Source organism: Homo sapiens, chromosome 1 (genome assembly GCF_000001405.40).
Source record: "Homo sapiens chromosome 1, GRCh38.p14 Primary Assembly".
Taxonomy (NCBI): Eukaryota; Metazoa; Chordata; class Mammalia; order Primates; family Hominidae; genus Homo; species Homo sapiens.
This window is the reverse complement of record NC_000001.11, coordinates 236785613-236800262: the sequence shown is the minus strand read 5'-3', so window position 1 is coordinate 236800262 and position 14650 is coordinate 236785613. Positions and strand designations below refer to the sequence as shown.

The following is a 14650-nucleotide window of genomic DNA, read 5'->3' as shown; positions in this document are numbered from 1 at the left end:
AAGTATGTCCTTTGGCATCGGCAAAATGATTAATCAATATCAATCAATATCCTATTATTTACATGTCCTTCTTCCTATCTCCTCCACTGAGCGAGTGCACACAAGTTGAGCAAATCTAACCACTCAGAGTGCCTCCACCCCTCATTTTCATAAAAAGTCTTAGTACTTTTCCATGGGGCCCTTACTGTATTCCCTTTTCAATCCAGAAATAATAAGCTTTGTTTTTGGACTTTAAGACAGTTCACTATTTACCACAAAACAACCCAGCCCCACACATGCAAATTCTGGCATCTTGTTTGTTGAGCCACCGTATAGGCAAGAGATCAAAAGCTGTTTAAAAACATCTGCTTTGGTTTTTCAGAAACCTGACAAACTTATTGTATAATTTATTGGGAAGAACTTTATGACTTCGAATGAAAAGGAACTTCTTAAGACTCAAAAAGACCAACCTCTTAATTTAAAAAAAAAAAACACAATGAATTTGATTACATAAAAACCAAGGATTTCTGTTAAACGAAAGTCACCATAGACAAAAATAATAGACGATGGGTTGGGGGAGATTCTTCAATGTCTAAAGCTAATTTGTTTTCTTATTGATTTGTGTTAGTTCCTTGTACATTCCAGAATGTAATATACAATGTGAATTAAAAATACCTATAGACTAGAGTTTACAACAAAATGTATAAATATATGGATATATGTGAAAAAGGCGGTCTATGGAAACAAGAGAATTGTGAATAGAAAATACAGATAAAAAGGAATATATAATAAAACACAGGAATTTTGCAGCCTGAATAAAAAACTCCTATGCAACTGAGGCCCTTAAAAATCCATTACTTGGGCTGGGTGTGGTGGTTCACACTTGTAATCCCAACACTTTGGGAGACCAAAGTAGGTGGATCACTGAGTCCACGAGTTCGAAAACAGCCTGGGCAACACAGTGGCCTCATCTCTACAAAAAAAAAAAACAAAAATTAGCCAAGCCTGGTAGTATGCACCTGTAGTCCCAGCTACTAGTAAGGCTGAGGCAAGAAAACTGCTTGAGCCTGGGAAGTCGAGGCTGCAGTGAACCGTGATCACGCCACTGCCCTCAGCTTGGGCAACAGAGTGAGACTGTCTCAAGAAAAAGGGGGAAAAAAAAAAACATAGTTTCCTCAACTACTTGCTTATTTTTCCTTTAGAGGATAATGTAAGATTTCCCATTTAGAGAAACTAAGAAGTCTTCCTTCAGAAAATCTGTTGGTATTAAGTGTTCACTATTTTTAGCCTTCTGTATTCCTCCAGTTTTTCCAGTAGGAGGTCATTTTTCACTGGGCTTTAATTACCATTCTAATTCACCAGTTTCCAATTACTATCAGAACTTGCTCAAAAGAATAAGTCACCTTGACAATTCCTTCCCCTGGCAGAGTGGGGATCTACTGAAATGTCACTCTTCCATGAAGAACAACAAAATTGTATTTATCTGTATTCAGTTCATTAGGTCTAGAACATTCTGTATACTTAACTACTGACTAGTCAAGTTCTAAATAAAGCAGATTCTTTCTGATTATCTTTCACAGTAAATATAAGAATATAGTTTTGCAGTTCCTTTACTTAGCTGACTAGTTATAACACTATTTCAGAAATATTTTTATGTTTAATGTATATATGTAAATAACCGCAGTGCAGAGGAGAGTCCCAAGGAACATCCTTGGCTAGTGAGCCTAAGAGATCACACAGTATTTTCTCCAGTTTTGAGTGGATTTAGCCAATATATTTTGTGGGGTTTTTTTCCGTGCCCTTAACATCTTATTTTCTAGCTAACAATATTCTGATTCACAGCAAGTGTTCCAAAGAATAAACATAGGTATAAGTGGTTAAAGCCCTAGTCAGATTTGGAGGGGGGTAGACCAGCTAGTACCACCTTTAAGAACTAGCCTAAAGAATGACAAGATGAAGGCCTAAACAAATAAATTCCTAATATGTGCATGTAAGTTATAAATTGCAGTGTCAAGAACACATCTGCTCTGAAGGTAAAATGACCCCAAATAGATCTGACTTACTTAGGACCCCTCTTTCCACTGTGCTAAATGGGGAACACATACAGCAAAAGCACATTTTTATTTTCTGCATTATAATCAAATGATCCCAAGGCTTTCTCAGCACTGTTCTTTCTTTGCTTTATTAAAAACAATCTTACTACTGCCCTACAAGTCACTTGCAAGATACTTCTCTCTTTCATTTTTGGATCTCTAATTTCTAGTTTGCACAGACTTGCTACACTTTGTTTTTTTGGTTTTGTTTTGTTTTGTTTTGTTTTTTTTTGGAGACTAAGTCTCACTCTCTCACCCAGGATGGAGTGCAGTGGCATGATCTCGGCTCACTGCAACCTCAGCCTCCAGGGTTCAAGCGATTCTCCTGCCTCAGCCTCCTGAGTAGCTGGGGTTATAGGCGCTCACTATAAACCCAGCTAATTTTTGTATTTTTAGTACAGATGGGGTTTCACCATGTTGGCCAGGCTGGTCTCGAACTCCTGACCTCAGGTGACCCGCACGCCTCGGCCTCCCAAAGTGCTGGGATTACAGATATGAGCCACCGCGCCCAGCTTCTTTGGGGGCATCTCTTTGCTTGTGCAGTATTCCATTTTTAATATATATTATTTCCCCCTTTGATTTTAATAAGCCGGAGAAGAATTAGGCTGATACCAATTCACTGGATTATTCATTCCTTCATTAATCACTCATCAATTGATACCAATTCACTGGATTATTCATTCCTTCATTAATCACTCATCAATTGAGTTCCAAATAACACTCACAGTCCTAAGCAAGGATGAAACCAAGAAACTTTTAGAAGCTGTAGTTAAAATTTTCTCCCAAGATGTATTTGCTAGCCCACCATCCTCCTTCCCCAGGGCACACAACCATGGTCTGAAGTCACATTTAGTTTTAAGGCCCAACCTTGAGAATCAGGAATTCCCAGCTCTCCATTAAAATTTCATTAAGATTGTACGCCAGTAAATTACTAAGGGTTATTAGGAAGTTAAAACCTGATTCTAATCCCAATAAAAGTTGCTCACATAGACAGAAGCTGGACTACATCTAAGGTCTTTTCTAGGCACAATGGCCTGATTCAGAACTTCAGAGGCCCTAGACTTGGTTAAACTCCACTCAGTGCTCAACTCTAGAAGCCAGCCTTGGGGGTGAGGGGACTAGGCAAGATTCAAACATTCAACAATTTTCCTTTCAGTTTATTTTTTTTTTTTAAATCACTCACTATTCACAGTATTTTAAGTCTTCAGTGGCATTTTGCTCCTGATAATGACACCTAAATTCAGATGAAAGGGAAATAACTTTACTTGTTTAAATTAAATGGGAAGGGGGAGGCCAGAAATCATGAGTAAAAGATGTTTTCCAAATAAATATGATCTCCCTATGATCATTTATTCAATAAGATATAAATCTCTTATAGGGAGGTTTACATTTATTAATTAAATATTAAATATAAATAAGATGTAACCTCATTACATCTTATTTAATATATTAAATAACATATAAACCTCTCATAGGGAGGTTTATATCTTATTTAATAACAGCAGTGATGTGTTTCTCAGCCACAGTTCCACTAGTTTCAAGAACAATTATATCAGTCCCGTTATCAGAACCCAAGAATCAAGAGAGTCACCGGTTAACCTCTGATAAATTTCCTTGTGCGTTACGAATTTAGTATTCCCCCTCTTCCTGAAGCTAAACATCCCCACTATGTGATAGGATATTTACTGTTTTGTACTTATCACTAATTCTCGTTTCTACATCTCCTCACCCGTTTTTACGGGTGTATTTGTCCTCAAATTATAATCAGGCATGACCTTAGAGATCTAGAGCTCGTTATAAAGCTAACATTACGTTCAGTTCTCGTGCTAAACTAGCTTTTTCTCACTGTTGATCCCAGGGCCACCAACATCAGAATCGCTTGAAATTACTACCTCCCATTTCGGTATCTGGAGGTGGGGTCTGCTCATCTATTTTAACATAGTGAGTCTATGCATATTGCAGTTTTGCAGCAGCGTGCGTAGAAGCAGAAAATAAAAAGTTCCATGTAGTAGTTTTAAATAGTTCTCTGAGTTTCCTCGTCTGTCTCTCCGCGCCTGAACTTTCTTTCGCAGTAGGTGCGCAATACATATTTACGAATAAGCGTCACACCATGCAAAAAAAAAAACTTCCAGAGGGCCCAGCTGGTTTATGCTGCGTGGAACTGGAAAGTTTAGTTACTGTGACGTTAAGAATGTGTTTCGGGGGCGAGGGGAGGACGCTTTTTGCAGGTTTTGATGGCTTGCCTGGGGAGAAAGAGGTGAAGGTCGGACAAAGAGTGGAGCAAAACACGTAGCCCTCCGGGCTCCTGCGCTAAGTTCTAAAGGTGCCGCCCACACGCGGGGAAACACCGCCGGGCGTCTCCCGCCGCAGAAGGGAATCGCCCCAGGGATTAGGAGGCCACAGCACGAGTTAAGAAACACAACCCAACCACGCAGACGGGGTCGCAGCGTTACCGGGTTGCGACAGGTCTTGGAGCGCGGGTGACATGTTGTCGAGTCTCCTCCTTGCGCAGAGGGCGCGGCAGAGAAGACGTGCTCTCCACAGGTGACGACGGCCAAGGGCCACGCCAGCCAGCGCCAGGCGAGCCTGCCACACAAGGCCCGGGTCTTTTGACGCCTCCCGTTGGCTCGCGTCGCGGGGGGACTGCGGACCCCGAAAGCCCGCAGCGCCCTAGGGCCTCTCTCGGGGCTGGGCGCGGCAACTGCTGGAGCACGTGCTTTCTTCCCGGGTACCCGGCCAGTCCTTGGTGTCGGCCTAGCAGCCAGACACGCGCGGCCAGAGGCGGAGTCGCGGGACGGCACGGAAAAGGACCCAAGAGAAAACCGGCAGAGGAGGACGACGTGACATCCGGCTCTGAGCCCCGCAGACATTTAGAACCTTTCAGAGCGCGGTTAGTTCTGCGCTCAATCTATCCTCGGCGTGGGAGGTCCCGCCCCTTCCGGCCTGTGATTGGTCTGCCCGAGCTCCTCGCAGCCGCATTGGCTGTCAATATCAACCAATCACCTGCTGTTTAGCCCCGGGGCTCTCTGGGAGATGTAGTCCCGCTCCCCAGTTTCCCGCGGGAGCTTTTCGCGTCTCTGTGTGCCCAGGATCCGGAAGTGTAAGCCTAAGTGGCCCCTCTAAGGAAAAGTCACAGCGCCAAGTTCGTGCTGATCTCGACACGCTGTGTGGTGTCGAGCCTGAAATTTTAGTTCCGTTTTGCTGTTGACTTGCGCTGGGCAAGACAGTTAACCTCTCAGTCTCCACACTCTACAAACAAGAATGATAGGATGGTAGTAATTAGAATTTTTTAGGGTTGTAGTAGGCGTTAAATGAGATCGTTTGACCGCGCTATGAAAACTCTGAATTACCATATGGGGGTGTTAATTGTAACTTATTGACAGTAAACATATATTGAGCACCTACTATGTGTCAGGCATTGGGGCACACACTTGGAATGCAAAATCAGACAAGCTACATCGCACCCTCACGTCCTTGGAGGAGGAACTCACAACCTAGTTAGATTAATAATTGAACAGGGAAAAAAGAACCACATACATTTTAAAAGAGCTAGAGTATTCAAAGGGGCCAGGGAAAGGTTTCAAAGAAGAATCTGGGTCCTGAAGGAAGAGTGGTACCAGGTAAGGTTGTTCCAGTCAGGAGAAGCTCCCTGTGTACAACACAGCACTTTAGGGAATTCTAAAATAAAGGGCAGCTCTGTAAGGCCGAGCATGGTAGATGTGAGAAAAAGCAAATTCATCTAGAAAAATCTCTGTAAGGCTGAGCATGGTAGATGTAAGGAAAAGCAAATGCATCCAGAAAAATAAAAACTATAACCAAATTATGACATTTACTAAGCTTTAAAAAAGGCACAAATTTGCATGCCATTCTCATTTTATTGTATGTAATTATACCTCAATTTTGAAGATTTGAAAAATTATTATAATGCGTATCACATTCTTACCAAGACCATCTTACCAAAGATGGTCTTACTTGGAAGGTGGGGGGAATGGAGTAGGTGAGAGAGAATGCAACAAAGAAGGGAGGGAGGAATGAGATGGCCCTAAATAGCCAAAAATCTTAAGATTATAAGGGCTAGGGTGAGAGTAGGTGAGGGATAAACGACTACACATTGGGTGCAGTGTCCACTGCCTAGGTGATGGGTGCACCAAACTCTCAAATCACCACTAAAGAACTTATTCATGTAACCAAACACCACCTGCTCCCCAAAAACCTATTGAAATAAATAAGTTAAAAAAAAAGAAGAAGAAAAGGAGGAAAGAAAAAAAAGCAAGGTCTTCTATGCTGAACTTATTAAATTATTTATCCAGGCTTGATAAATCATGATGGTTTTCTCATATTTATTATTATGTTTATTCATTTCTCAACTCCTGAGTTTTTATCTGCAAAAAAAGAAGTAGTGAAATTTAACTGTGTAAAGATGCACCTGTCTAAAAAAAAAAAAAAAAGATTATAAGGGCTAGTTGTTTGTTTGTTTGAGACGGAGTCTCACTCTGTCGCACAGTCTGGAGCGCACTGGCACGATCTTGGCTCAGCTCACTGCAACCTCCGCCTCCCGGGTTGAAGCTAGTTTTTTAATTATCATGTATCCCTCAAAGTTTGTTGACGTGTTTCTTGAAAAATGATCTTTCAGGCACCTAGTCGGCAACTGTCCCCCATTCACATTCTCTTACTGGAAATTCCAGGAGTTGTGTGCCAGTCCCTGTTTGATGCAAGTCATCAAAGTTTACTCTCTCAGCTAAAACTGACCAAATTCTGTATTTCTTAAAGTCGTAAAAGAGTAACAAATAAGATTAGAGGAATACATAGTGCCTAAAGGGGCAGTGAATTTCTAGTACAAAAACGCGATTTACAGTTCCAAGAATACTGTATGGGTTGCAATGTGTCCCCCTCAAAGATATGTTGAAGCCCTAACTTCCAGTGCTTCAGAATATGACCCTATTTGGGCCGGGTGCAGTGGCTCACACCCGCAATCCCAGCACTTTGGGAGGCCGAGACTGGTGGATCGCTTGAGGCCAGGAGTTCGAGACCAGCCTGGGCAATATGGTGAAACCCCATCTCTGCTAAAAATACAAAAATTAACCAGGCGTGGTGGCTCACATCTGTAATCCCAGCACTTTGGGAGGCTGAGGTGGGCGGATCACCTGAGGTCGGGTGTTCGAGACCAGCCTGCCCAACATGGAGAAACGCCGTCTCTACTAAAAATACAAAATTAGCCGGGTGTGGTGGTGCATGCCTGTAATCCCAGCTATTCGAGAGGCCGAGGCAGGAGAATCACTTGAACCCGGGAGGGGGAGGTTGCAGTGAACCGAGATTGTGCCATTGCACTCCAGCCTGGGCAACAAGAGTGAAACTCCGTCTCAAAAAAAAAGAAAGAAAAAAAGAAAAGAAAAAGAAAAACACAAAAATTAGCCGAGTGTGGTGGCACATGCCTGTAATCCCAGCTACTGGAGGCAGAGGTGGGAGAATCGCTTGAACCTGGCAGGGTGAAGGTTGCAGTGAGTGGAGATTGAGCCACTACACTCCAGCCTGGGCAACAGAGAGATACTCAGACTCAAAAAAAAAAAAAAAAAAAAAAAGAATATGACCTTAATGACCCTATTTGGAAATAGGTTTGTTGCAGGTTAGTTTAGTTATGAGATCATCATCCAGCGTAGCTGGTGTCCTTATGAGAAGGGGAGATACACGAGGAGAAAAGAGCCACTTGCCAACAAAGGTGGAGACTGGAGGGAAGCACCTGCAAACCAGGGAACTCCAAGGATTGCCAGCAGACATCCAAATCTAGAAGAGACAAGAAAGGGTTCTCCCTTGTAGGTTTCAGAAAAAGCATTACTCTGCCTACACCTCAATTTGGGACCTCTTGCTTCCAGAACTGTCAGGTAATAAATTTCTGTTGTTTTAAGCCACTCAGTTTTTGTACTTCCTCGGAAACTCTAAAGCAATCCTTGGAAACTAATACAACTATATCTGTGGATGGGCTGGGACTAACGAGGGTCTCTATCTCTGTAGGAGAGAACCTGCTATTTTAAGTTGGTGATAGCCTGCTAGCCTGCTTTTTTCCCCCTCATTAAGCTCATTCTCATTAAACTCATCCAACACAAACCCATTGTTTAGAGGTTAGGGTCCAAACAACCTCTTGGTGATTTGGGACTTCTTTCCCTGTGGATTTGTCTTCATAGATAGAAGTGGAGATCAGTGAACCTAAATATCCAACTCCTACTGTATAGCAGTAGCAAATTGACATTCCAGCTTTATGCATTATTCTCTGGTCTTGGTGGTTGTGTCAAACCCATTAGGTGGCTCTTTGTGTCCTGCTAGTCAAGAGTCTTGCAAATATAAACTATGGGCCAGATCTGGAACAAGGATGTACTACTTCTGGAGTCTACTGGGGTGACCATGGGTTTTCCCCCAGAAGATCCCTGTCACAAAGGTGAGCCCCGCTATTTCCTTCCCTCAAATCCCTTCATAGTGTTGTTGACAAAAAGAGTCAAACTCTGTAAAATATTTGAAGAGATTCATTAAGAGCCAAATATGAGTGACCATGGCCCATGACACAGCCCTCAGGAGGTCCTGAGAACAGGTGCCCAAGGTGGTTGAGGTGCAGCTTAGTTTTGTACATTTTAGGGAGACATGAGACTTCAATCAAATACATTTAAGAAGTACATTGGTTCGGTTCACAATTTAAGAAATACATTGGTTCAGTTCAGAAACACGGAACAACTTGAAGCCAGGCACAGGGTGGGGGTGGGGGGCCCTCCAGGTTATATGCAGATTTAAAAATTTTCTGGTTGACAATTGGTTGAGTTTATCTAAAGACCTGGGATCAATAGAAAGCAAATGTCTGGGTTAAAGGATTGTGAAGACCAAAGTTCTTATTGTGCAGAGGAAGCCTTCAGGTAGCAGGCTACGGAGAGAATAGATTGTAAATGCCTCTTATCAGACTTAAGGTCTGTGTTGATGTTAATGCCGGAGAGGTATAATGAGGCATGGCCCAGACCCTCACTTTTGTTCATGGTCTGAACCAGTCTTTTAGGTTACTTTTTTTTTTTTAGATGGAGTCTTGCTCTGTCGCCAGGCTGGAGTGCAGTGGCGTGATCTCCGCTCACTGCAACCTCCGACTCCCTGGTTCAAGTGATTCTCCTGCCTCAGCCTCCCTAGTAGCTGGGATTAAACAGGCATGTGCCACCATGCCCAGCTAATTTTTGTATTTTTAGTAGAGATGGGGTTTCACCATGTTGGCCAGGTTGGTCTCGAACTCCTGACCTCAGGTGATCTGCCTGCCTCGGCCTCCCAAAGTGCTGGGATTACAGGCGTGAGCCACCACACCCGGCCTCAGGTTACATTTTAAGAGTACCCTGGCTGAGCGGGAAGTCCATTCAGATGGTTGAGGGGCCTTATCACATAGGTCAACAACCGTTATGATTACCCATATGGATTGTACTAAATGAGCTGAATTTTGAATCTGTGGGATATGGCCCTGGCACCAGGTACAAGGTAAAAAGGAATGTCATTTTATTATAACCAATAGCCCTGGAAGGTCTCGCTCTCCCTTTCTTCCTGCACTGAGGTAGAGATTTGCTGTCTCTCTCTGTAAGACTTGACACTGGAGGGTATCAATTGGCTGAATTTGTGCCACCTGTTCCAGGGACTCTAGAAGGTTTTTTTTTTTTTTAAACTTCACCTGGACAGAAGCATTCTTAATTATCCAAAGACAGTTCATCTTTTACCTAGCTAACTATGCTAGCACCTAAATGTAGACAGGACTAAAATTAAATGCAAAAATGGGTTTTAGCTTACACATACTGTCAGATGAATTTCTAAGTTCTTATGTACAATCTCATATTTAATCTTCACCCTATAACATAGGGTTCATATTGTGAAAGGAAAATAAATCTTGGAGTCAAGTGCAGATTATACACCTGTAATCCCAGCACTTCAGGAGGCCGAGATGGGTGGATCACTTAAGGTCAGAAGTTCGAGACCAGCCTGGCCAACATAGTGAAACCCCATCTCTACTAAAATTACAAAAATTAGCCAGGCATGGTGGTGTGCACCTGTAGCCCCAGCTACTAAGGAGGCTGAGGCAGAAGAATCCCTGGAACCTGGGAACAGAGGTTGCAGTGAGCTGAGATCATGCCACTGCACTCTTCCAGCCTGGGCAACAGAGTAAGACTCCATCTCAAAAAAAAAAAAAAAAAAAAAACTTGGGACCCCAAAATTACTGAGCCAAAGGGAAGGTTAAAGCTGGGAACTCCATTGAACGAGCCTGCCTTCCATTCTATTCCTAAATAAGATAGCTACAAAGATTTTTTAGAAAGCTATATACCTCCCTCCCTCACAATGTGCCCACAAGAAAATCTCAAAGGACAGACAGAACTCAAAGTCATCCCTCTGCTCGTGTGAGACAAATGCACATCTGATTGCTTGCTCTGCCCTATAGTTTCACTAAGCCAGACTAGGCGTAAGTGACTATTCCTGTAAATTGCATATTTGGTGAAAGGCTAGTCAGAAACTCAAAAGAATGCAACAGTTGTCTCTTACCTACCTATGACCTGGAAGTCCCCTTCCCACTTTGTGTTGTCCTGCCTTTCCAGACTGAACCAATGTACATCTGACATATATTGATTGATGTCTCATGTCTCCCTAAAATGTATAAAACAAAGCTGTGCCCCACCACCTTGGGCACATGTCGACAAGAGCTCCTGAGGCTGTGCCATGGGCGTGTCCTTAATGTAGGCAAAATAAACGTTCTAAATTGACTGAGACTCGTCTCAGATATTTTGGGTTCACAATATAATTGCCCCTATTTTAGAGGAGCAGAAATTGCGGCTTAAAGAAGTTACTAGAAGAAGGCTGGGCACGGTGGCTCACACCTGTAATCACAGCACTTTGGGAGGCCAAGGCAGATGGATCACAAGGTCAGGAGTTCAAGACCAGCCTGGCCAAGATGGTGAAACTGTGTCTCTACTAAAAATACAAAAATTAGCTGGGCATGGTGGCAGGTACCTGTAATCCCAGCTACTTGGGAGGTTTAGGCAGGAGAATCACTTGAATCCAGGAGGCAGAGGTTGCAGTGAGCCAAGATGGTGCCACTGCACTCCAGCCTGGGCAACAGAGCAAGACTCCGTCCCAAAAAAAAAAAAAGAAAAAAAGAAGAAGAAGAAGAAAAGAAAAAAGAAACAAGACACAAGAAGAAAGAAGAGCGAGCCAAGGCCTCATAAAACTAAGGAGTCTTGGAGTGGGGATTCAGGAGCCCTGTGCCAGCACCCAACACCGTAAGTTAGGGTTGAGTAAGCAAACTTTATTTCCAAATACTGAAAATATCAGTATCCAAGAAATAAAGGTGGGGGGAGCACTTATAGGATTAATTGCAAGGACTTTTAAAAGACTTTTTTTTCCAAAAATCCAAATAAGGTGTGACTGGGTGACTGGTTTTGCTTTCTTTTTGTTTTGGTTTGGTTTGGTTTGTGGATTTTGTTTGGTTTGTGAATTTTTTGGGGGGCTTTTTGGTTTGGTTTGGTTTTGCCTAAGAATACAGCCAAATATTTTTGTTTAACAGGCAGGAATATGGTATTTAATCTGCTTAAAATGGTAAACTAAGAGCTAAACTTGATAACTGCTAAAATGTTTTACTTTGAAAAATGAGCTATAGGAGGGAACAGCACTCTTACGACCACTTTTAAAAGTCTTACCTTTGAATCCTGGAAATGTAGATAATGAACATGGAGGAAAATCAGAACTAATTATTATTTTTTATTTTTTAGAGATAGGGTCTCACTCTGTCATCCAGGCTGGAGTGCAATGGCACAACCATGACTCACTGCAGCCTCAAACTCCGGGACACAAGTGATTCTCCCACCTCACCCTCCCAAGTAGCTGGGACTACAGGCACATACCATGACACTTGGCTAATTTTTTTTTTTTTTTGATAGAGACAGGGTCTCACTATGTTGCCCAGGCTGGTCTCAAACTCCTGGTTTCAAGTGATCCTCCCACTTCAGCATCCCAAGTGCTGGGATTACAGGCATGAGACACCGCACCTGACCAGAAATAATTTTTAAATTGTAGAGAGTTCATTGAGAACAAATTCTCTTCTCATAACTACAAAAAGAGATTAGTTAATGTTTAATGATTACAATGTTCAGTAATCTAATCCACGTTGGTAGCTTGCTTTTGTTTGCCTCTAGACGACACATTTAAAAACAGAGGTGATTTAAAAGAATTAAGGGAACTAGCCAGTATTGTTTTCTGGCCTTGCCTGGAAGGTGAGGTTCAATTAAGACAAACAAGTTGAAACCCAGAATATCTATCGTATTTGGAACATAATTCAAAGTCATTAAAAGAAAGGTGTTCTTGGTATTCTTGTATTTATAGATCCAATAGTAGAAATTCTATAAATTTGGGGGACTGTGACTTATGTATGTATGTATTTAACAAAATATTTATTGAGACTGTGATGTCAGACACTGGGCTAAAATGATGAGATTAAACAGACTCATCCTGCAACCTAGTGGGTAAGACAAACAGTAATCAAACATATCATTATGAAATAAGATGGGGGCCAGGTGCAGTGGCTCACACCTATAATCACAACACTTTGGGAGGTAGAGGCTGGTGGATCATCTGAGGTCGGGAGTTTGAGACCAGCCTGGCCAACATGGCGAAACGCTGTCTCTACTAAAAATACAAAAATTAGCCAAGCATGGTGGTGGTCACCTGTAATCCCAGCTATTTGGGAGGCTGAGGCATGAGAATTGCTTGAACCCAGGAGGCAGAGATTGCAGTGACCAGAGATCACGACTTTGTACTCCAGCCTGGATGACAGAGTGAGACTCCATCTCAAAAAAAATTAAAAAATAAAATTTTTAAAAAACAAGATGGGTGTGATGGAGAAAGATCTCTATAAGCCAGGTGCTGTTATTGTCCTTCTTTTACCAGTAAGAAAACCAAGACAAAGAAAAGCTAAATGACTTGTCCAAGGTCACACTTCTAATAGATGGTGCAGCTGGGCCTCAAACCCAGGAAAACTGTGTCCTGCGTTCATGCTCTTAATCACTAATACTACTCTTTGGGAAGCTGATGAAAGCATTTTCTCCCCAGAAAAATGGGTTCGCCAAATTGCTTATAATTTCAATTGTTATTCAGATTTACTGGCCTCAATTTACATTATGAAATGAGCTTATAAAATGTTGCTGCATCCTTATATTTAAACAAAATTCATCTTAGCATGAAATCCTGGAATTTTAAGTAGGCTACATTTTCAATGGGAGATAGTCCTACATGGCTTGTTTAGAAGAAGATCACCAAACATCATCCCCAGAATATTAGTACAAAACTTCCCTGAGCTCTGGTAGTGTTATGGGATCCTTGCAGTTGTTGCTTTTCTGGCCAGAAACCTCTGTGGCCAGTGGCGCCTTTGCCCGAGTTTTGCTCAGGCCCGCTGGGCCCACTCGTCCTGGAAGGCTGTATTCGGCTCACGCTACCAGCCTGGATCCCATGCCTCCAAGGGAGAGTGTGAGTCAGGCATAGAACGGCGAGGGGTATGTGAGTGAGCACGGGGTCCGGCCACTGTGCACAGTCAAGACACGCCAGCTGCTCCCGGTGCCAGCATGGGTGCCAGATCTCTGTGAGGCTGCGGCTGAACCAGGTGCAACTCAAGCAGCTTCCTCAGCTGGCACGAGGGAATGCGGTGGCACCCAGAAGCTTGAAGACGCCAGAAACTGCAGGGCCCCAAAGAGGGAGTTACAACCCTGGCTTGGGGAGCTCCCAGGTCTGGGCCCCCTGAGGGGCCACAGCTCTTCTCTCCTCTTCGCCTGCAATGTGGCAAGCAAGGAGCCTGTTTCAGTCCTGTTTGTATTACAGCTCTTTTAGCCTTGCTATTTGGCGAGTCCTGAGTTCTTGTCCTGCATCCAGGAAGAATGAGGTATGTAGACAAGTGGAGGATGAGCACGATGAAGAGGAGGTTTATTGAGCAATGGAACAGCTCAGAGGAGACCCTCAGTGAGCAGCTCCTCTCCATAGCTAGTGTGCCCCAATGAGTGTTCAGCTGTCTAGTTCCTTTCTGTAGCTGGTCCCCCATCATCTCCTCAACTTTTGGCAGAGAGGAGACCCTGGGGTGGGCAGTTCCCCTCTGCAGCTGGTTGTCCTGTCCTCTCCCTATCATCTGTCTTCTCTCTGCCCTCTGTTTGAGTCTGGCTGAGTCTCAGGTTTTTATGGGCCTCAGAGGGGAGGAAGTGTGTGCTGATTGGTTCATGTGTGGGCCCGGGGTAAAGCACCACAAGTTCCCCCTCCAGTCTGTGGGACTGGGGGCCTGGCCCCTAGGCTTCAGGCCCTCCCCAGTTTGAAGGTGGGGCTTTCCTGGGCATCAGCCCCCTTCCACCCAGGAGCCTGTCTTCTGCTGTGGTTCGTGGTGCCCAGGCTGTTCATGCCAAGGAGCACCTGCAGGCCAGCACCCAGCTGTCCTCAGCGCCCCCTCAGCCTCCCTCCCATGCTTGTTGGTGCCCAAAGTCTGGAGGAGAGCAAGGCAGCAGGGGGCTGGTGTGTCAGCACTGCCCCAGGTGTGTGCTCAGCTGGCCAGG

At 43.6% G+C, this 14650-nt stretch overlaps 1 protein-coding gene across 12 annotated transcripts in view, besides 2 other annotated features; it reads right to left on the bottom strand.

Moving 5' to 3' along the window:
- The window catches only part of MTR (5-methyltetrahydrofolate-homocysteine methyltransferase), a 108701-nt gene extending 103719 nt beyond the window's left edge, over positions 1 to 4982 (bottom strand). For 9 of the 12 annotated variants that reach the window (NM_001291939.1, XM_047421186.1, XM_005273141.6 and 6 more), the window contains exon 1: positions 4526 to 4982. In NM_001291939.1, coding sequence (NP_001278868.1) covers positions 4526 to 4559 — 34 coding nt within the window. In that variant the 5' untranslated portion in view covers positions 4560 to 4982. The remainder of the gene's footprint in view (positions 1 to 4525) is intronic. The other 3 variants (NM_000254.3, NM_001410942.1, NM_001291940.2) reach the window with 1 other exon arrangement.
- Positions 4366 to 4555: an enhancer, noted in NCBI's record as "active region_2827". NCBI's record gives its function as "activates an Ori minimal core promoter by ATAC-STARR-seq in GM12878 lymphoblastoid cells {active_cell/tissue: GM12878}" and the evidence as "EXISTENCE:reporter gene assay evidence [ECO:0000049][PMID:35858748]".
- Positions 4656 to 4945: an enhancer, noted in NCBI's record as "active region_2826". NCBI's record gives its function as "activates an Ori minimal core promoter by ATAC-STARR-seq in GM12878 lymphoblastoid cells {active_cell/tissue: GM12878}" and the evidence as "EXISTENCE:reporter gene assay evidence [ECO:0000049][PMID:35858748]".